Here is a 22,281-nt window from a genome sequence, read left to right as displayed (position 1 = left end):
TATGATGAATTTGATATAGTCCTTAGGCTTCAGCCAGCAACTCTAGCTGTCCTTTGTCATTCATTCATTCCAGCAAATTCTTAGTCTGCTACTGTTAGCAACTTTGCTTCAAGCCAGTAACCTTAAAGCTTATTCTCACCTTCATGCTCATCAGTGTTTTCCATACCAACTTTCTTCTGTTTTCCCATTCCCCCACCATAATTACACCCACTCTCAACCTCAGGTTTTCCCAGGAGTGGAGCTTGGCTCTACTAGGGATATCTGATGTATTAGTAACCGGCCACTGATGACCCATCTGGTGGCTGTCTCTAGCTGCCACTGGAACTGGAATCTCTGAGTTGTGTTTACTCAAGACCACATTAGCATTTCTTAGTTCTGCCTCTGCAGATAGCCTGAGCTGTGGGGCACAGGAAGGGGCAGCTACATTCCTTCCAGTGTCTATTCCAACACAGGTAGGCAATGGAGTTGGATTGCTCTGTATTCTTATCTTGACCCCACTATTTCCTAGCTGTCTAGCTTTAACTTTCCCAAACATCAGATTCCTCTTCTCTAAAGTGGAGACAGTAACAGTTCCTGTCTCTTAGAGTCCTTGGGAAGGTTTAAGTGGGCTAATGTGTAAAGTTGTAGCACAGTTATTGGCACTTGGTAAATAATGAATGATGGGACCCGTCTCCAGACTTGAATCACTTTGGGGCACCTGTAGATGGGGGAGAGGGCAGACTTAGTAGAGAAAATATGTGTGCTAAGTCTTAGAGGATAAGGAGTTAGCATCCCTTCCATCAGTGGATAAAGAAGAGAAGAATTCCTGGCAGCAGTATGACTAAGAAATAGATGACAGCATGATGTATCTGTGCACATACTTTACTGACTGCAGGGTGAAGTAAGATGGGGAGGCAAGAGGAGGGGAGGCAAAAAAGATGGCCAAGAGCAGATCACTAGAAGCCTTGTAGAGTCCATGGAGGAGTTAAAACTTGATCTCCCATCAGTCCCTGTATCCACATAGTCTGGTTCCTCTGTTAAGCAGTCACATAAATATCTTTAAGGCAGCAACAGTGAAAAGGGGAAAGAGAGCAGCGAATTGGCCTCAAATGAACTGGCATCTCTTTAAAGCTAATATTCCTCCTTGAGAATGCTACTTTAATTAAACATGTGCCCTGCAAGATTCATTATTGCCTTACTTGTGTTCTCTGTTGGTTGTCTCATTCATTAATCTGCCGATTAGTAACCCTGAACTCTTGCATCCCTTCCTTTTTTTTGCATTCCCTTTTTAATATACTATGCTGTTTCCCCTGGGACATAAACTCCAGGACCCGTCCCTGGCCTGCTCGTGTTTGTTTTCTTTGCCCCTTGTGCCTGCCTCTGCTATAATATTTGTAGTATGTGTTAAGTAATCCTTAAGGTAACATTTTTATTATGTCATAAAAAGTGCATGGCAAATATATTATAACTCATGGACTTTGTTTAAAAATGAACGGATAATTTATTGAGTGTGTTACATGAGCCTCACTCCCCTCCCCATTTCAGCTGAGACCTGCTGCTCATTTAGCCAAGCCTCCTATTGAGTGCTCCCTCCCTGTGACATGCTGGGAAAGCAGGCCTGTGGTTGGCTAGAGGTGACATCATAGTTTATGTACTCAATAAAAATTTAATTAAGTCATTACAGGAATTGCAGTCATCATTTAACCCTCTGATTTCTTCTGTTTAGTTTATTATTAAACATTCAGTAATACCAGTCACTGAATCCTGGTGGCTTATAAAATATCTGCATGAATTTTAATGGCTTAAATAAATGGGAAAATATGAGTAACTGATATAAAAGGAACCTTTTCCTTGTGGTGTTGTATGTATGGGTTTTTATGAAAAGCAAAGCATTATGGAAAGGATGAGTTTAATAAGAGAACGGCCCAACACTATCTGGGAGGAGTTTCTCTTCTGCTGGGTGCAGCTGTGTAGTCATGGGCAGAGTGCTCCATATAGAATGATCTGGCAGTGGAGAGGTGGGGAACCTGCACACCAGCAACCAAAAACTTAAATGAGGGAATAAAATCCAACAGGGATTCACCAGAGCGAATATCCTGCTCCCCTTGGCTGCTGGACTAGCTAGAAGGGCCCTGCCGAGTGAGTCCGGTAGTTGAGGAAGGTGCTGTCACTTGCCCTCACCTGTTGCCTGCAGATCACGTGTCTGTACTGATCTCACTTCCACCCTCTTCCAGGAAGGCCCCTTTTCATGATCTAATCCAGCCTGGGTGATGATATCTGAAAAGCATTTCTAGCTGTGGCAGTTTGCCATTGTCTCAGCTAGAGGTGAAGGGAGAGGCAGCTTACAGGTCACTGGAGTTAGAATATAGGACCAGGAAGTCAAGGAGCCTTGCTAGTAAGGAACTCTACTCTTGCACTCCGTTTTTCCTGGGCAGTAGCCAACCAGAATGCAGGTGTATCCCAAGAGGAGAAAATGTGTTTGTATGTTTGTGGGCCTTGCTGGAAAGCAAGAACTGAGGTTTGCAGATGAATGTGTTGATGATCTCTGGAAATGCCCTGCAGATGGTAAAGTAGGAAAAGCACTTACCCAGAAATCAGGTTCTAATCCTGGCTCTTATACTAACTTGATGTGTGATCTTGAATAAGTCTCTTCTTTCTGGGTTTCAGTTCACCCTTTCCTCAAGGGTATTGAGCTAGGTAATCTCTGAGGGCCCTTCCTGCTCCAAAGCTTAATGGTGTGATACATGACATAAACTAGCTCTGCTAGGCAGGTTCAGTGAATGTTTTCCTCTGAGAGATGCTCCTGCCTTACTGTTTGACACCTCTGATATCATCCGTTTGTGGCTGTGATTATTCCTAACACAATTAGGAGAACAACTCATGTGGGAGTAGGGAGATCCTCCAAGTATGGGTATCAGGAGGTCTGAGTTGTAGTCTCATCCTCACATGACAGAAGGAATGAACTCTAGCTCTGGCCTGTTTCTTGACTCTTCCCTTTACCCCTTTCTGGAAGATGGGACAGTAGAAGTTTGGCAGTATATGTTTCTGAAATTCCAGAAACACAGAAGGTATTCAACAGGGGGAAAGAAAGGCGAAGAAGAAGAAAATCCCCTAAAACACTAGTTGGATAGAACATGCTATGCATGGCGTAGTACACAGGCCCTTGTAAAAATTCAGTTACCAGCAAGCCTGTCTTAGCCCCTGCTCTGGGTTAGGCTCTGGACCAGATGATGGGGGTGCCGAGATTAATCAGACATGGTTCCTATGACCCTTGAGTAGCTCCCAGACTAATGGGAGAGACAGGTGCATAAGCAGCTCTAAACCACGTGTGTACCCAGGCAGAAAATATGCCCAGAGAGCTGTGAGAACACCAAGGATGGATGGCTAATGTAGCCCTGGTTGAAGGTGTGTGGGATAGGTCATGGTTTGCACTCCTAGTTACATCCAGTCTACATTTTCCAGCCTTGAGCTTCACAATCCTTTCATTTTTGAAAATTATCCATGGCTGTAAAGCATTGGAACTGGTTTTGGTTTTATGTAAACAAACCAGAAGTTATTACTTATAATTCCTTACATTTGCAGAGCATTCTGCAGTTTACCAAGGCTTTCAGCATACATACATTATTAAATTAATGAATGAATGCATGCTAACTCACGTGCTCTTCCAAATAGCCCTGTGTGTAGGAAAGGGGCCGGGCGCAGTGGCTCACGCCTGTAATCCCAGCACTTTAGGAGGTCGAGGCGGGCTGATCGCCTGAGGTCAGGAGTTCGAGACCAGCCTGGCCAACATGGTGAAACCCCATCTCTACTAAAAATACAAAAAAATTAGCCAGGTGTGGTGGCAGGTGCCTGTAATCCCAGCTGCTCGGGAGGCTGAGGCAGGAGAATCGCCTGAACCCGGGAGGCGGAGATTGCAGTGAGCTGAGATCATGCCGCTGCACTACAGCCTGGCCAAGAGAGCGAGACTCTGTCTCAAAAAAAAAGGAAATGGGCCGGGCGTGGTGGCTCATGCCTGTAATCCCAGCACTTTAGGAGGCCGAGGCGGGTGGATCACGAGGTCAGGAGATCGAGACCATCCTGGCTAACACGGTGAAACCCCGTCTGTACTAAAAATAGAAAAAATTAGCTGGGCATGGTGGCGGGCACCTGTAGTCCCAGCTACTTGGGAGGCTGAGGCAGGAGAATGCTGTGAACCCGGGAGGCGGAGGTTGCCGTGAGCCAAGATCACACCACTGCTCTCCAGCCTGGGTGACAGAGCGAGACTCTGTCTCAAAAAAGAAAAAGGAAATGGACTCAGGTTGACTTGCTTAAGATAACATCCTGTGTACATAGCAAAACTATCACTTGAACCCAGGTTTTCTGAGTCTAAATCCAGATCACCCTTTCTACATTTCTTCCGAGACTAGTTATGAGCCACAGGATAAAATCACTCAGTCTTTGATTTGTGACCCAAAGTAAAATTATCCTCCCAGAAGCAGAACCCTGGCAGACTGTAAGGAGTGTGGACTCTGGATTCAGACTGACCTGGATGCTGATCTCAGCTTTATCATGAATTTGCTGTGTGACACAAGGCATCACTTCACCAGTCTGAGTCTCTCACACAGTCACTTACAGTCTGAGTGACTGTAACACATCTACCTCCCAGCCCATGACAGGTGCTTCGTAAATGAGATGACTGTGGGCATGGTCACCGTCAGAGTTGTTAAGCACAAATCTTGTTCTCCACATAAAGTTCCAAATGCCTTTTGGCTATTTCCAAAACCATCAGTTCAGATAGTCAGAGTCCTTACTCTGTGCTATACATTGCACTGGCTTTCTGCTGGGATCCTGAAGAGGAATAAAACGTGGACCCTGCCTTACAGCGTGTTACTGTCTGGAGGTCAGAGTTGTACCCTATTGAAGGCATTCAGCGAACTGCACTCTGGGCCCTGAAGATCCTCCAGGCCAGGCTGTTCCCCAAGAGGAGAGAGGAGTTCTACTGGGCTCTCAACCATCTCACCAGAATTGCATTTCTAAAACAGTCTCTGAGTTTTTGTTTGTTTGAGACAGGCTCTTGTTCTGTTGCCCAGGCTGGAGTGCAGTGGCGCGATCCTGGCTCACTGCAGCCTCGGCCTCCCAGGCTCAAGTGATGCACCTCAGCCTCCCAAGTAGCCGGGACTACAGTCATGCACCACTATGCCAGGCTAATTTTTGTATTTTTTTGTAGGGATGGGGTTTCGCCATGTTGCCCAGGCTGGTCTCAAACTCCTGGGCTCAAGCGATCTGCCTGCCTTGGCCTCCCAAAGTGCTGGGATTACAGGCATGAACCACTGCCCAGCCAAAATGATCTCTTAACTTTAACATTCTTCTTGCTTCAGAGCTGCCCCTGCTTTGTTCTTCCCTCCTTTCCATGGCCTCAGAGGCCCCCCTTTTTCCTCAGCATGTCTCTCAGAGTCCTGCCTCTCTCCCTCCTCTTCCCACCTCTGACCACTTCCTTCTCTGTTTTTTCATCACGACAAACTCTTTTGAGTGGCCCTTAAGATGTCTCCTAACCTAGTCTCAACATAACTTTCTTGTGATCCTGCCTATTCACCCTCCCTGACACCCTCCCTGCGCCATTTTCTTTCCAGCCTCTGCACCTTTGCACACCTTGCTCTGTCTAGAATGCTCTCTCTCCCTCCTCCCCCTCACTCTCCTCTGTCAAACTCCTCCTCCTCCAAGTTTCACTTAAATGTTACCTCCTAGAGAGCCCTTACCAGCTCCCTCAAGCAGGTAAAACTAAAACCCATTTATCACTCAGCATGTTTAGAATAGGATTTGAGGCAACATGTTGCAGTATAATTATTTTTTATATGCCTATTTTCCTACATTGGACTGTGCTCCTCCAATCAAGAAACTGTTTCTTATACTTGGTTCATAGGATCTAGCACAAAACTAAACATGTGGTTGGGGCTCAGTTCATTAAGCTGACTTGTGTAATTTGAGATCAAAACCTAAAAGAATTTGGCAAATTGGGGAGAATCCTGACACATCAGGGAATTGAGAATGGACTGGCAGCTTGACTTGTTAGTGGCCGTCTCTCTTCTACTAAGAGTCTGTGACAGCTAAGAGTCAAAGATCATACTTTTTGGGTTTTTTTCTTTCTTTCTTTCAAACTTTTGTTTTTGCCATTTGTTTCTGTAGGTTAATCCCTATATCCTGAAGAAGAACATGATCCTCATGACAAATCATTTCTATGCAGCGATCTTGGGATATGATGAGGTAAGATTGTTTGCCAAGGCTTAGGCAGGACGGTGGCCTCCCCCAGCAAAGGCTTTTGATGAGAGCCTCTGAGGGAAGCCACAGGGACCATTGTTACTGGCTACCACCATGGCGTAGTATTTATTTCTTCATATTCATCAACTGGGCAGCGAGAATGAATGTGCTGAGCATGTTTGGGAAACATGCCACATGTTTGGGAAAGAAAGCAGTATATAATATGGTCAAACCATTCAACTAGTCAGCATTTGTTGAGTGGCTGCTGGGTGCTGGATGGAGGGACAGAGGCAAATGAGACACTGTCTTAGCCCCATGTGCTCCCAGAGAGAGGAGGATATTCACGTAAACAGCATGGTCTGCCAGGCAAAGTATACACTTTTTTTTTTTTTTGCTTTAATTATGAAAGCAATACATATTCATTTTGAAAGTTTGTAAAACTGGCTGGGCGCAGTGGCTCCCAGCACTTTGGGAGGCTGAGGTGGGCAGATCACTTGAGGTCAGGAGTTCGAGACCAGCCTGGCCAACATGGTGAAACCCCGTGTCACTAAAAATGCAAAACTTAGCCGGGTATGGTGGTGGGTGCCTGTAATCCCAGCTACTCTAGAGGCTGAGGCAGGTGAATCGCTTGAACCTGGGAGACGGAGGTTGCAGTGAGCCGAGATCATGCCTCTGCACTCTAGCCTGGGTGACAGAGTGAGACTCCGTCTCAAAAAAAGATAAATAAATAAAAATAAAAGTTTGTAAAGCTGTACATAAGTGGTTGAAATAGAAATCAGAAGACCTGGCCAGGCATAGTGGCTCACGCCTGTAATCCCAGCACCTTGGGAGGCCGAGGTGGGTGGATCAGCTGAGGTCAGGAGTTTGAGATCAGCCTGAAACCCCGTCTCTACTACAGATACAAAAATTAGCCAGGCATGGTGGCATGTGCCTGTAATCCCACCTGCTTGGGAAGGTGAGGCATGAGAGGCGGAGTCTCTTGAACCTGGGAGGCGGAGACTGCAGTGAGCTGAGATTGCGCCACTGCACTCCAGCCTGGGCAACAGAATGAGACTTGGTCTCAAAAAAAATGAAATTAGAAGACCTATTTCCTACCCTGCTCCAGACGAAAACTTAATTTCTAGTTTATTGGATGTCCTTCCGAATGTTGTCTGTGCATAGACAAGCACCTTTGTCTTTTCCTTCTTTATGCAACTGGAGTTACACTAGACACATGATTCTGCAACTTGCTTTTTTCACTGAAGTATGTATCTTGGGTGTCCTTCCACATCAGGACATTTGGATCTATCTCATCTTTTTTTTTTTTTTTTTTTTTTTTTAGACAGAGTCTTGCTCTGTCACCCAGGCTGGAGTGCAGTGGCGCGATCTCTACTTACCACAAGCTCCACCTCCCAGGTTCACGCCATTCTTCTGCCTCAGCCTCCTGAGTAGCTGGGACTACAGGCGCCTGCCACCACACCCGGCTAATTTTTTGTATTTTTAGTAGAGACAGGGTTTCACCGTGTTAGCCAGGATGGTCTCGATCTCCTGACCTTGTGATCTGCCCGCCTCGGCCTCCCAAAGTGCTGGGATTACAGGCGTGAGCCACCACGCCTGGCCTCATCTTTTTAAAAAAATTGTAAAATATACATATCATAAAATGTACCATTTTAACTATTTTTAAGTGTACAGTTTAGTAGCATAAAGTACATTCCCATTGCTTTGCACCGTCACCACCATTCATCTCCAGAGCTTTTCCATCTTCCAAACTGAAACTCTGTCCCTATTGAACAATAATTATTCCCTCCTTCCCTCATATCCCCTAGCAACCACCATTCATTTGACTTTATGTCTCTATGAATTTGACTACTGTAGATAATTCATATAAGTAGAATCACACAATTTTTGACCTTTTGTGACTGACTTATTTCACTTAACATAATGCCCTCGAGGTTCATCTATCTCATCTTTTTTCTCCCCAACATTTATTGTGGAGATTTCAAGCATGTAGAAAGAATGGTGTAATGAACACCTGATATTTTAAACTAACCATATGCTTTTATACTGATTTTGTGGTTACCTCCAGATTTAATGCAAGCATGACCCCTCCTGGGAAGCGGTTCCTGAACTTCCTGTGACTCAGCTCATTCCATCCTCCCTGCACTCTCACAGTGCTTACTACATTCACATTATCTGTCACCTTGGCTGGGTGGGGATTTCTTTTTGGGTAGTGCAATGCCTACTGTGTTTGCATTTCTGTGGCCTGGCATAGTGCTTGGCATGTGGTAGTCAAAGAGTGAGAAATGCATAAAAGGACAAAAGTTAAGAAACTGGAGTTCAGTTTCTTAACTTTTGTTAAAATAGGGTCTCCTGATTCCTATTCTACTGGATATCCTGAATTACAAGGGAGCATTTACATTGCATACTATACACATCATTAACTTAACATGAGCTTTCGGGGGTTATGGGTTGGGAATTGAGAATTATTGCTCAAGTGTACATATCAATTATAAAAGTGGACGAATTGTAATTGTAGAAGCCTTACAATATAGAAAAGGATGAGGCTTAGGAGTGAAGAACTACACCTCTCTGTGAGCCTTTGTTTATGGTCTTTATTGCAGGTGGCTCTATTGGCTCAGTCGATCCTTTCATCAGTATTAATAAAAATGTACCGAATTGTGTTTGTTTCCGGTCCCCCATCCAGTCCATTCTGGCAGAGCCATTTTACCCAACTGTGCCTGACCACAGGAGTCACCTGGGGTGCTTTTAAAATCTAAATCTTTATCACCTCTCTGAAGATTACAATTCAGTAGGAGTGCTGCCTGGTGGTTCAACAAGTCACCCGAAGGTGACTTTTAAGAGCAGGAAATTTTGGGGAAATATACTAATTACCTGGGACACTTTTTAGAAATATCAGTGTCTGGGCCCTGTCCCCCAAAGATTCTGATTTAATTGGTGGAGGTGGACATCTGTAGTTGTAAAAGTTCCCAGGTGATTTTAATGTGCAATTCTAGAAGTTTTTCCTGTATTTTAATGTGCATGTGAGTCACCTAGAGGACCTAGGTACAATTCAGATTCTGACTCAGCAAGTCTGGGGCGGGGCCTGAGATTCTGCATTGCTAACAGCTGCACGTGATGGGGGTGCAGCCATTTTGCAGACCACACTTGGAGTCACAAGGTGCTAGAGCTATTTGATACTAAACACATGCAGCTATTTTAATTTAAATTAATTAAATAAAATGGAAAATTCAGATCCTCAGGTACTCAGTTACTATATGTGACTACCATCTTGGACAGTGCAGATACAGAACAGTTCCATAGTCACAAAAAGTTCTATTGGACAGCGCTGTTCTACAGCAACCTTTTCCTAGAATCTTGCTTGGATTGTTCCCCCTCCCTGGACGCTTTGGGAACCTCCCTGTTTTCTGTGACATTAGGTCCAAATTGCTCCCTGAACTTCCAGGCCTTCTGTGAACTGTTGCCATTGCTATGTGCCCTATCTGCCTTTATATTTCTTGTGCTCTCTCTTAGGCCGTTTGCCTTACTGCCCTATAGACATGCTGTGCCTGACTGAGACTCTACCTAACAATGAGGGGTTGAGGGCAGTAGCTGAGTCTTGGTCAGCTTTAGGGTCTGGTTCAGGGCCTGGTGTACCTTGTAGGCACTCCCTCTGTAAATATTTTGAATATTTTCTCTTGCTTAGAATAATCTGCAGCTGGCCAGGCACAGTGGCTCACGCCTGTAATCCCAGCACTTTGGGAGGCCGAGGTGGATAGATCACGAGGCCAAGAGTTCGAGACCAGCCTGACCAACATGGTGAAACCCCGTCTCTACTGAAAAAAAAAAAAAAAAAAATTAGCCCGGCATGGTGGTGGGCGCCTGTAGTCCCAGCTACTCGGGAGGCTGAGGCAGGAGAATGGCATGAACCCAGGAGGTGGAGCTTGCAGTGAGCTGAGATCACGCTACTGCACTCCAGCCTGGGTGACAGAGCGAGACTCCATCTCAAAAAAAAAAAAAAAAATCTGCAGCTTTCCAAATCTTCCCAATTTTTTTTTTTTTTTTTTTTTTTTGAGACAGAGTCTCACTCTGTTGCCAGGCTGGAGTGCAGTGGCACAATCTCAGCTTACTGCAACCTCCACCTCCCGGGTTTAAGGGATTCTCCTGCCTCAGCCTCCTGAGTAGCTGGGACTAGAGGCAGGCGCCACCATGCTTGACTAATTTTTTTTGTATTTTTCGTAGAGACAGGGTTTCACCACGTTGCCCAGGATGGTCTCGATCTCTTGACCTCGTGATCCACCCACCTCGGCCTCCCAAAGTGCTGGGATTACAGGCGTGAGCCACCACACCCGCTAAATCCTCCCAATTCTTAAAGGCCTACTTCTTCAGAAAGGTTTCCCTGACCTCTCTGGATCGCTTGTGTTTTTACTGTGAATTTCCACACCCATCCATCTATTCATTATCCATTTAACAGGTAGCTTTTGAGTGTCTACCATGTGTGATACATGGGAATATATTGGTGAATAAAACAAACACGGTCTGGCTCTTTCCCACTAGAGCTTACCTTCTAATTGAGAGACATAGTAAACAAGTAGCAGATAAGCAGTAAATATCTAACTACAGTAGAGTGCAGTGAGAGAGAACAACAGGGGGAATGACTTGATGTGGACCAGGAAGATCTCTCTGAGGAGTTGTCATAAAAGCTAAGACTGTAGAACAAGGAGGCAGCCATGTAGAGTGTAGCTGAGTCTCACTGTGCAGCTTGGCATGTGTTCATTCTCCGGGATTTTACTCTGTGCTGCTGTTAGATGTGCACTGATTTTGTCCCTTCAGCTAGATTGCAAGTTCCCTGAGAGCTCAGACCATATTGCTGTGACTCTTGTGTTCCTAGCATCATGCTGAGCACATAGTGATGTCAAATCAATCTTCACTGAGTGGAACTCTGCCACTTTAAACCCTTAATCAGAACTAGAACCCTCCAAAGCTGAAACAATCCCCTTGGCTTCCTCTCAGTTACTCTAGACCTAGGTGTCTTAATTTCTGAAGGATGCTTCATTGTGTCACGAGGGAAAACAAGTAGGCACCCGATTAGATTGGGGGGAAATTATGCTGTGCCCTCATGTTTGGTTCCCAGGACCCTTCTTCCAGTTCTGCTTTCTTAGTTTGAAATGTGCACCCTCAGATTAGTCTCTCATTTGTTTTCACTGCCTTACACTAGCAGTGTGGTGGGAAGAAGGCTGAAGTTGTGTTCGTTGATTTATTCAGCTATTCTTTTTTTTTTTCCTAAGACAGGGTCTCACTCTGTTGCCCAGGCTGGAGTGCAGCAGTGTGATCACAGCTCACTGTATCCTCAACCTCCCCAGGCCCAGGTGATCATCCCACCTCATCCTCCCGAGTAGCTGGGACTACACTTGTGTGCCACCATGCCTGGCTAATTTTTATATTTTTTTGTGGAAACAGTTTCGCCATGTTGTCCAGGCTGGTCTTGAACTCCTGGGCTCAAGTGATCCACCCAGCTTGGACTCCCAAAGTGCTGGGTATTCAGCCATTCTGATTGCTCTCCCACTCTATGCCAGGTTCTGTATTCTGACTAGAGTGGGTCAGTCATCATCCCCCACCTCATCAATGCATGCTGGTTCTAGTTCAGCCATCAGTTAGCTAGCCTCTAAGCCTCAGTTTACTTATCTTTCAAATGGGGATATAGGCCAGGTGCGGTGGCTCACGCCTGTAATCCCAGCACTTGGGAGGCCGAAGCAGGCAGATCACTTGAGGTCAGGAGTTCGAGACCACCCTGGCCAACATGGTGAAACCCTGTCTCTACTAAAAATACAAAAAATTAGCCGGGTGTGATGGCACATGCCCGTAGTCCCAGCTACTTGGGAGGCTGAGGCAAGAGAATCACTTGAACTTGGGAGGCAGAGGTTGCATTGAGCCAAGATCATGCCACTGCACTTCAGCCTGGGTGACAGAGTGAGACTTCATCTCAAAACAAAACAAAACAAAGCAAAGCAAATGGGAATATAATATCTATTCTACTTGGCAAACATAATCATTAGGAGCTAGGCGTGTGAGGGAACCCTAACAGTCTGAAACAGTTGGGTTGTTCTCACTATTAGTGGGTCCTGAGTCATCCTTTTCCTTCTGATGGCTCAGGAATTCCTGATTATGAATTTGCCCCTTCCCAGCCATCTCACCCGCTGCTAAAGTTGCCTGTTTTCCCATCCTGGGCTCTGCCCATTCTCCAGGTCCCCATAACACGCGCTCCCAATCCCATTCCTTTCTGCACAGCACATGTGGGTTGCTGCCAGCAGCGCTCTGGCATGTGCCCAGGCACAGCAGACACAGGCACGCTGTTGTGCTAGCAAATCGTTTGCAGAAGGGTGATGTGCCTGAGCTTGTCCTCTGCTCCTGTCCCCATGTGCCAGAAAAAGCCAGTTTTCCTGACTCAGCCATTGTGCCAGGACAGTCCTAAGCTGTGGAACCGTAAGGAGGGTTTATCAGAGAGCATTTGGAACAGGTGGAATGTTTTTCTACCAAACTGTCAGCACCCCATACTGGACATGGCCCTTGTTGGCAGCAGGCCTGGAGCCAGACCTCACATACCACAATGCCCAAGAGGACAGACCACAATAAAATGTCGAATAAAGTGATCCTGGGTCTTTGGGTAATGTTTACCACTTACAGAGCCATTCATGGCCAGTATCTCTTAATTCTCACAGCAACTCTGTGGGATAGGTATTATTAGGCTTGTTTGACTCATGAAAAACTGAGGCTCAGGAATGGCTAATAGCTTCTTAAAGGCCGCATGGCCATCAAGTGACACAGCTGGCATTCGAACTCTGTGCTCTGGCTCCCAGACCCCACGGTTTTGACTGTATCCCCGCTGTCTGCCAAAGCATGCTCCTAATCTTTGTATCCAACAGATTACACTTAACAAATAGTTCAAGAATGCTATAAGTAGAGCAGGTAACTTCATCTGTTTTGAAGAAGTAGAAGATTGAGACTTTGGTTTAGTCAGCTGCCACCATCACTGATCTTGGCAGAGGTGGAATTAGGACTTGATCTCCCTTCTAACTCCAAGTCAGCACATCGATTCCACACACTACCTTGGCACCTGGACAGAGCAACTTCTCAGGGCCTGTTCCATCAGCCACCTTCACCCCAGGAAGCAAGACTCTCAGCCCTCCCTCCTCTAGAGGTCCAAGCTAGAAAATGTCCTTAGCTGGTGGCTGGGGCTCTTATTTTGCTCTGTAATCTTTAAGCTTCCCAACAGAAGTCTCCTCTGCCAAAAGAGGCAGCGTTAGGCACACACACACATGCAAGCTCTGAGCCTGGCCCTCTGTGGCCCCAGCAATCCTGCTGAACATCCTGTTCCCCTACTTAGGGAGAGGCTGGGCCCAGAGTTGGGTAAGAGTGAAGACAAGGTAGCTGGCTCCCTTCCCCCAAGGACCAGTTGCCTTGCCTTGGTCCTTGGACCAAGCAAGAAGGCACAGTCCATGCCCACCTCCATTCCTGGGAGAAACATACATTCACAATATTCCCAGCCCGTGCCCTGTGGACAGCAGGGGGAGCATTGCTGCTATGGACAGCAGGGGGAGCATTGCTGCTACTGTTTCTCTTCTCAGCCTCTCAAGTGTTGCCTGGGCCAGGCGCAGTACGGAGTACTGCCTGAGTCCCAGCTCTGCATCACCTAACTGGTGGCTTGGCCCCTCTGGACCCCCTGTTCTCCCTCTGTATGTAATAAAATGAAGGGATTGGGCCAGATACCCTTGTAAGACCCCTTCCACCTCTACTGTGTGACTGCCCCATTTTCCTCTTGTGCGTGGAGGGCCCTTCTGAGCTGATTCCATGGTTGCTAGCATGTTCATAGTATCCCCACCGTCTGTGTCCTGGCTCTGTGGATCCCTCAGGAGACCACTGCTGTGCTGTATGTTCCAGGGGATCCTTTCAGATGATCATGGGCTGGCCGCTGCCCTCTGGAGAACCTTCTTCAACCGGAAATGTGAAGACCCTCGACATCTTGAATTGCTGGTAGAGTATGTGAGGAAACAGGTGAGTGACCCTTTCCCTCCCCTCCCAAGTCCTGGCAACAGTGGGTCCTCCTCTTGGGCTTTCAGGGGATCATGAGAGGTGGAGTTACCAAGGACCAGCCTGAGAGAATTCTGACCAGATCACATCAGCACTAGACGCTGAAGAAGGAGCGCCTTCTGTATGTCCAACCATGAACTGGGCCAGGGAGCGGGAAATGGGAAGAGAGAGAGAAAGAGGCATCGAGTAGTCTCCTGCCCTCAGGAACTTTGAGTCATTCATTCACTGTGCACCTCATTGCCTACTGTGCGCCCAGTGCTATGCTAGCAGCTGGGCCCACAGAGTCCTGGCAGATATGAGCACGTGGTGTAGTAGCAGCTGCCCACTGTGGACCCCTTCTCTACCCACTTGGATTTGTTTCCTGCTCCTGACTTCCAGCAAAACTGGGCAGCAGGCAGCATTTCACAGACAGCCTCTTCCTGCTAGATGCTCTCCACAGTCAAGTAGAGTCCCCCCACTTCAGTTTCTCACCCCTCTGGCTCCCCAGGGCTCCCCGACATCAAAGCTTCTACGAGAAAGCTCCGCAGTGGGGGCTGCTTACCCACATAGCTGTCCTCAAGCCCCGGGGAATTAATTCCTTGACCTCCCTGCCCTCAGATCCTGTATTGATGGGAAACTCATACTTGATAGATGAGTGAGCTGACTGGCAGCGAAGAGGACATAGAGGCTCTTCCAGGGCCTCCCAGTGAGTCAGCCTGCACAGCTGCCCTAGGGCCCCAAGCTGTGTGATTCATGTGACCACTGAGGCCTCAGCTGCCTCAGACAGCTCAGGCTGTGCCATGAGTCACACCTTTGCTTCATGGCCTGGCCCCTGGAGCTGAAGGGGTGTCACGCCACAGTTACTCTCTTGTTCACTTGTATTCATGGTCTTCAACAACCAGGAAAGGCAAGGCTGGACTTCAGCTCTTGAGAAGACAGGGCCCATAGGACTAGCTTGTTAACTGCTGGAAAAACCACATACTGGGGCTCTGCAGACCCACAGGGTAGAGAATCCCAGGAGCCAGGACTTCTGTTTGACCACTCTTCAAATCTGCTAGAGCCAGGGAGAGGGCACGGCATGGCCAGAGGGCCCCACTCACAGAGAATTCTGATACTCTGTTGACTGGACTCACCCTCAGACGGGAGTAGCAATTCGCAAAGCAAATGCTGTGTTTTCTGAGAGACCTGCCCAACATTTCCATCTGCCATGGTGGGCTTGTGCCAGAAGCCCCAACAAGACACACTGGGACTTCTCCGAGGGCCCTCTAGGAAGGGGCTGCCACAACCATTGTCCCTACAAGAGGTCCCATGTGGCCCCAGTGAGAGGCAGTGGAAAAACCGTGAAGGGGTTCTTGGGAAAGCAGGGAGCTTTGGTGGGGACCCAGTTCTATCAGCAAACCTTTTGAGCACCTGCTGCTCCATGTACTCTTGGGAAAGCAACGATTAATAAGACCCAGTCCTGCCCTCGAGGAGCCAGCTCATGGTTTGGTGAGGAAGCCCAGGCACACGGCTAACCCTGGAGTAAGCCAGCCTGTTATGTGATACAGGGAGGGCAGAGTGCTGAAGGCCGGGAAAGGAAGAGCAGGAGCTGGGCCTTGAGCAGACTGTTTGGTGTGGCCGATGGCCCAAGAGCCAACCAGAGGTTCTGTTGAGATTTTCAACCCAGGAGGTGGGCAGAGGGGTGGCACTGGGGGCAGAAATGGAGTCACTGTAAGGGAGGAGTGGGCTTTAGGGAAGAGATGGCAGGGCAGGTGGGAATCCAGAGCCAAGACACGTGCGAGAGGCTGGGGTTGAGTTCAAGCGTCAGCAGCTGGAAGCGGAAGCAACCAGAGTGGTGGATTCTTGGAAGGGGGAATGACCTAAAGCCTAAGATGAAGTCTCCTGGCCCTGCAGCAGTGGCTTCTCTGGATGATGACCATTTTAATGGCAGAGCTGTCTGCCCCTACTGTCCTAGAGAGGTGATACTGGGGCCCACTGACCAGGGGCCCACTAGAGGACAACAGAGGCATACATATGTTTAAAGCGTGAGTGCCTAGCACTGCATATATGCATATTGTTGAATCTCTTCATGTGTCCTGTGAGGTACCTGTTTCTATCCCCTCTCTCAAGACAAGGGAACTTAAATCTCAGAGAGGGGAAGCTGCCACCCTGGGTAGCAGCACTGGGAAGGGACAGAATCAGGACTCTCACCCAGCAGTGCTGGGGTGGACAGCATGGCTGTGTGCGCTGCAAGCCCTGACTTCCTGGCCTGCAGGAGCTGTCTAGGGAGGGCGTGTAGGGGAGACGTGTCCTTGGGAGGTGTGTGTCTGTCTCCATTCAGAGGTGTGATAGGGAATTCCCTAACTGCCCCCGCCACCCAGCTCCCCAGTGACTGCTTTCTCTGAACCACCTTAGTGAAATTATCTAGGAGATCAGAGACGGCTTGGCCTGGGACGGCTTGGTCTGGGACCTGGGATGGTCAGAAGCCCCCCTCATGCCCCGTCCCCTTCCTTCCTCTCCTCTGGGAGGCTGGTTCCTGACGCTGGCTCCTCACCTCTGCCCTGCCTCTGTCGCTTCCTCCTTCCCCCTCCCCTGGTTGCAGATACAGTACCTGGACTCCATGAACGGGGAGGATCTGCTTCTGACAGGGGAGGTGAGCTGGCGCCCTCTAGTGGAGAAGAATCCTCAGAGCATCCTGAAGCCCCATTCTCCGACTTACAACGACGAGGGACTTTGATGGGCTGGGCCCTCCGCACGGCCCGCCAGCTGGCTTCGAGGAACCTCCAGGAGAGAAGTGCCTGTTGGTCCAGGACCCTGCAGAAAGTGGCCTGAACTGACCTCTGAACAGCATCTGTCAAATACCTGGCCCCATTTGTGTTGAGTTTCCTCTTAGTGTGCCCAGGAGTCTGATCTGCTGGGGTACAGGGCTGGGAGAACCCCTAGCTCTCCCGGGGTGTCCTCTCCCTTAGGGGAAGCCCCGAGTGAGAGTCCCCCAGCACACACTCCCCAACCCCCTCCAGCAACTACATGTGACTGATAGCTTTTCCCAAAGGCCAAGGAAGGGATGGTGTAGGTTCAAAAGGGAAACCCCCCAGGGCCTGCTGTGGCCTAGGAGCAGATTGTAATGCTGCCGAGTCCGGTCGGTGACCACGCGTTGTCCCTCGGCTTTCAGCCATGGGGTTGAGTTGGCCATTAAAAGAAACAGAGACTTCTCTCTGCCATGGCCCTTCTTTATTCCAGGGACTTAGAAACTTGCCTGAGATGGTGGACGCAGTAATGAGGGCACCGCGCAGCTCAGTTAGAGACGGAGAAAGGGAAGAGGCTGGGATGGTCTCTGCTGCTCTTGCCTCTAGTTCATGGAGATGTGTCTCTGTTCAGGCCAAGATACAGCCAGCCAGGCCTGTCGTCTGGGACCCAGGAGGCCTCTGATGACCAAGGGCTTTCACATCCTAAGTCATTTGGAAGGAGGCCTTGAGAACAAAGTCACCTTTGTCACTCCCAGTGAACTGAATGAGGAACATGCTGTCTCCTGTCTTGGCCTCCCCTTTCATGAGATACTGGGGAGAAGAGAACATTCCTCCTGGCTTAGTTGTAGCAGACCCAGACCTGTGCCCAGCTTTGGTCCCCCTTCCCAACTTCTGAAGCACGTGCTGCAGAGCCACCTTGGTCTGAGCACCTGAGGACCAGCCCCTCCTCCCTCAGTGCGGGTCATCTCTTGGGGGATTTTCTTAAAGTGAAGAAAGGGGGTGGGGAACCATATTGCCCCTCCCTCCCCCATCAAACTTCCTTCATTTAACTTGCTATAAAATGAGTCATATAAAGAAACTCTATATGGGTGAGGTATATCCCACTTCTGTGAAAACATTACAAATCAAACCGCTTCTCTCAGTTTATTTAAGATGCTTTTGTTGCGAGCGGAGCTCTAGAGTGAAGCCTCCTGTGTGTGTGTGAGATAATAACACCTTGTAACTCATTACAGCTGGGCACTATTTACATAAACCAGAGCTGAGCCAGGCAGGAATTTGCTGATTAATTTATTTTTAATGGAGTGAAGTATACCATGCACCAAAATAAACTTTACTGTGTGTACCTAACTGCTCCTGGAATGGATGGAAAAATTAATGGAACAGATTTTGGCTCCCAACTCTACACATTAATTCATATATAAAAGTTATTTGAGCTTTAACCCATTTGCTGCCCAGGGTAGCTCCCCAGCCACAGATCCCAGCTCATGGCACCAGTTCAGCTACCGGGCTTGCTTTAGAATCCTGGAAGCTCAGATTTGGAAGGAACTTGAAAGGTCATTTGGTCCAGCCCTGGTCCAGAACCTGACTCCCCTTCTTAGCATCCCAGTCAGCCAGTGTTCATGCAGGCCCTGGGTGAGTCCCTCCAGCATCTGATGGTCCCTGCCTACAGAGCTAGTCCTGTCTGCTCAGGAGTTTGTCGTCGTGCAACACAGCAACTTGCAGTATGGAGCTGCCTTTGAAGGAGCCAGATTGGATCTATCGTGTCTGATGTTGGTGAGCCCTCACTTCTTGGCCATCAGCACCTTTCCCTGACTCTGCCAATCCCCCTCCCCTTAAGATCTATTCCAGGTTCCTTGGAGGCTACCCTTATTCTTGGTTTGGCCACTGCCTCCATTCCTGTTTTTATGAGTCTACCCATCTCTTCTCTGAGCACACTGAACCTCTTGGGGTTACCTGGAGAGATCATGCTATGTGTCCTCTACCTAGAACCTTTGTCCCTCCCTCTCCTGTCCCCTCCAGGTACAGTCACGATATCCGTGCTGCTCCCCACGTGGTTCTCTGCTCTGGAGCACTTACCTTTTTATTTATGTAGAGACAGTTTCTCACTATGTTGATCCTCCCACCTTGCCCTCCCAAAGTGCTAGGATTATAGGCATAAGCCTCCACACCTAGCCCTGGTAACACTTACCTTACCATGTTAAAATGATTTTTTTACCCACCTCCTACACTGTACTGTGAGCTGCCTCAGCGTGGAGTGGACACTGTGTTTGTGTTGGTCACTGTTGTTTTTCCAGTGCTCAGCCAAATGCCTGATTCATGATCAGCATCAGTGTATACTTGGATAAATGAAAGAATGAATGTGTGACTAAATCACCAAGTGTTATCAATACAACCCCAACCAAAAAGCCCCCTTCTGGACCATTCTCAGTGTGACCCATACAGTTTCACTTATTTTAGCGACTTAATATTGAGCACTCCCTTTGGTCTTAGCATAGGAACCAAAATGGAAAGTTCTTTCCATAGCTAAATGCTTTTCTAGTGTAACTCATTATTGTACAAAACAAGTGAAGGACACAATTTCTTGCCTTCAGGGAGACTGCTCTGTAGGAATGATTTTGTCATTTATTAATATTTGTATTCTGTATTCTTCCAGAAAAGATCACAGCAGATTAAGAGACACAGTTTGTAATAAAATTGTAGGCTGGGTGCAGTGGCTCATGCCTGTAATCCTAACACTTTGGGAGGCCGAAGTGGGCGGATTGGTTGAGTCCAGGAGTTCAAGACCAGCCTGGGCAATACAGTGAGACCCTGTCTCTACAAAAAGTTAGCTGGGTGTGGTGACATGAGCCTGTAGTCCCAGCTACTCAGGAGACTGAGGTAGGAGGATCACCTGAGCCCAGGAGGTGGGGGTTGCAGTGAGCTGAGATCATGCCACCACACTCCAGCCTGGGCAACAGAGTGAGACCCTGTCTCAAAAAAAAAAAAATCCTTAAAGTTTGAAAGATCAGATCCAGGTATTGGGAGGGAAAAAGAGGGAAAATAATTATGTTGGAAAACCTGGACTGCTAATGAGCAACTTTCATATGACTTTTTTAAAATTTTATAAAATACTGTAAATGCATTGTCTCACAACAATCAGGTAAAACAGGTATTGCCCTCATCATTTTTATTATCCCTTTAACACAAGTGAGGGGACTGAAGCTTAGAGGGGCCTAGAGAAAGAGTGATCGAGGATAAGAAGGGGCCAAGAGTGCTCCAGCCCACGACAGACCCTGGGGACCCTGCTTTGTCCCCATGTCACCCTGCCTCCCTCCCCCAGGTCAGCCAGGAGATTTGCAATTGAGTATGAGACCTTGCTCTGAGCTTCCTGGTCAAAGGTGGAAAATGGAAAGCCCTAAGGTTGTAGAGTTCCCATTGTCACATAAAAGGAAGTACACTTACTCATCAGAAGAAACATATGTCTTCCTTACTCTTCAGAGAAGACTGTATTATAGAGGTTTTCAAATGAGAAACACTGAACAGTACCCCTAAGATTGATGTTTTACCTAAAAATTTGAAAAAAGAAATCATCGCTATTTCTTCCGATGAGAAATAGCAATGCTGTACGACAAGACGGGGTGAATCTTAAACTGAGGTTGAAGCCCAGGCCGCACTTCAGCCAGCATCTTTTGAGTTTTCCCTCCATGCCAGGCTTGCTTGGTATTTTCACTTGTCACCTCACTCGCCGCCTTGCAGGTGAGGATTCTTAAGCTCATATTCCAGGAGGGGAATGCCCAGATGTACCCTGTATGGTGGCTCTGACCCAGTCCACCGCTTCAGGCTGTGAAGAGTGAGGCTTAAGGAGGTAGGAAAACGGGAATTGAGGACTAGCTGTCCAGTTGAAGGCACAGAACAGGAAGCTCTTCAGACTGCAGCAACTGTTGAGTTAGCTGCTAAGGGAAGGAAGGGTTGCAGAGATCAGGTGGGACCATGAGTAGGGGTAGCACAGATCACACATCAGCTGCCAGGCAGCAGGAAGCCACTGTGCGCATTCTTGGTAAAGACTGGGGCATGATGGCAGTGGAGAGACAGTGGTACCAGGATGGATTGGCTCTGTCAGGAAGGGAGTTTAGCCATCTGGGCTTGAGATGCCGGGGGTGACAGATGGAATTCAAAGGGAAGCTCAAACCCCAGAGACATTTCCGAGAAAAAACTCATCAGGACTTGAGGCCTAATGTGGAGCCTGAAGAGAGTGCAGTCACAGAACTCACTGGGGCCCAGAGATGGTGACGTCTGGCAGAAGATCCTCTTTGGAGGAGAAGAATCCTCTCTGTGTTGTGTTTTTTCTTTTTCTTTTTCTTTTTCGAGATGAAGTTTTGCTGCTGTTGCCCAGGCTGGAGTGCAGTGGTGTGATCTCGGCTCACTGCAGCCTCCGCCTCCCAGGTTCAAGGGATCCTCCTGCCTCAACCTCCCTAGTAGCTAGGATTACAGGTGCCCGCCACCAAGCCCTGCTAAATTTTTTTGTATTTTTAGTAGAGACAGGGTTTCACCATGTTGGCTAGGCTGGTCTCGAACTCCTGACCTCAGGTGATCTACCTGCCTCAGCCTCCCAAAGTGCTGGGATTAGAGGTGTGAGCCACCGCGCCCGGCCATGTGTTGTGTTTTTTCAAGTGAAACTTACAGCACCCTATGAGCTGGGCAGGGCAGGGATTGCTGCACCCATGATGCAATAGGGAAATAGGCGCACTGAGAAGAATCTGCTTGCTGGTGCAAGGTGACCCTGCAGCAAAGCTGAACAGTCATTTTTTCTGGGTTCCACTCCATTGCTTTTGGTGCACCTTGGTTGCATCTGTGGGGAGCCAGTCTGGTGGCAGATGGACTTCAGATGCTAGAGATGCTCCAGGGAGGGCAAGGGCATGGGGGAGGAAGGACCTTGGCGAACCTCAGGATGGACCTCAGGGACGAAGGATGTTGGCTTTGTCTTGGGTATAGAGATCCTGAAGTTGATGAGCTCCCGGAGGTGAGGGCAGCCCCGAGACTGGGTTGGGAGTGCAAGGAGCATTCACAGGAGGTGGCGGGAAGAGCAGGCACCAGTGCAGAAGGTAGACTGGACCCAGGGAAGAGGAGAGCTTCCAGAAGGAGACTCGGAGCAGCATGCTGAGAAGAGATGGAGGGATACTGGGAGGAGGCGGAAGAGGGGGTGAAACAAGGGGGTTTGCAGGAACGTGCTGAAGATGTATTTGGGGGCAGGAAGCACCCTGATGAGCTAAGCACTTAGTGGAGTAGGGAACTTCCCATGAGTGTTAGGGACTCCGATGAG

General features: G+C 48.2%; 1 protein-coding gene across 9 annotated transcripts in view, besides 5 other annotated features; it reads left to right on the top strand.

Moving 5' to 3' along the window:
- UQCC1 (ubiquinol-cytochrome c reductase complex assembly factor 1) overlaps positions 1 to 18,329 on the top strand; it is a 109,396-nt gene extending 91,067 nt beyond the window's left edge. For 8 of the 9 annotated variants that reach the window (NM_001184977.2, XM_011528878.3, NM_018244.5 and 5 more), the window contains 3 exons: positions 6,142 to 6,219; positions 14,128 to 14,241; positions 16,838 to 18,329. In NM_001184977.2, coding sequence (NP_001171906.1) covers positions 6,142 to 6,219; positions 14,128 to 14,241; positions 16,838 to 16,972 — 327 coding nt within the window. In that variant the 3' untranslated portion in view covers positions 16,973 to 18,329. The remainder of the gene's footprint in view (positions 1 to 6,141; positions 6,220 to 14,127; positions 14,242 to 16,837) is intronic. The other variant, NM_199487.3, reaches the window with a different exon arrangement.
- Positions 4,187 to 4,481: a silencer, noted in NCBI's record as "tiled region #6334; HepG2 Repressive non-DNase unmatched - State 15:Elon". NCBI's record gives its function as "represses a minimal TATA promoter and a strong SV40 promoter by Sharpr-MPRA in HepG2 cells {active_cell/tissue: HepG2}" and the evidence as "EXISTENCE:reporter gene assay evidence [ECO:0000049][PMID:27701403]".
- Positions 8,446 to 9,369: an enhancer, noted in NCBI's record as "H3K27ac hESC enhancer chr20:33899341-33900264 (GRCh37/hg19 assembly coordinates)". NCBI's record gives its function as "activates a minimal SCP1, AML or CMV promoter by ChIP-STARR-seq in naive H9 embryonic stem cells {active_cell/tissue: H9 hESC(naive)}" and the evidence as "EXISTENCE:reporter gene assay evidence [ECO:0000049][PMID:30033119]".
- Positions 14,294 to 15,493: an enhancer, noted in NCBI's record as "P300/CBP strongly-dependent group 1 enhancer chr20:33893217-33894416 (GRCh37/hg19 assembly coordinates)". NCBI's record gives its function as "activates an origin of replication core promoter dependent on BRD2, BRD4, P300/CBP, MED14 and CDK7 cofactors, with strong dependence on P300/CBP, by STARR-seq in HCT116 cells {active_cell/tissue: HCT116}" and the evidence as "EXISTENCE:reporter gene assay evidence [ECO:0000049][PMID:35650434]".
- Positions 14,907 to 15,201: an enhancer, noted in NCBI's record as "tiled region #10216; HepG2 Activating DNase matched - State 5:Enh, and K562 Activating DNase unmatched - State 5:Enh". NCBI's record gives its function as "activates a minimal TATA promoter and a strong SV40 promoter by Sharpr-MPRA in HepG2 and K562 cells {active_cell/tissue: HepG2 | K562}" and the evidence as "EXISTENCE:reporter gene assay evidence [ECO:0000049][PMID:27701403]".
- Positions 15,785 to 16,605: an enhancer, noted in NCBI's record as "H3K27ac-H3K4me1 hESC enhancer chr20:33892105-33892925 (GRCh37/hg19 assembly coordinates)". NCBI's record gives its function as "activates a minimal SCP1, AML or CMV promoter by ChIP-STARR-seq in primed H9 embryonic stem cells {active_cell/tissue: H9 hESC(primed)}" and the evidence as "EXISTENCE:reporter gene assay evidence [ECO:0000049][PMID:30033119]".

Source organism: Homo sapiens, chromosome 20 (genome assembly GCF_000001405.40).
Source record: "Homo sapiens chromosome 20, GRCh38.p14 Primary Assembly".
Classification (NCBI taxonomy): domain Eukaryota; kingdom Metazoa; phylum Chordata; class Mammalia; order Primates; family Hominidae; genus Homo; species Homo sapiens.
Note: the sequence above shows the minus strand (reverse complement) of the source record. Positions and strands in the feature narration are given on the sequence as shown.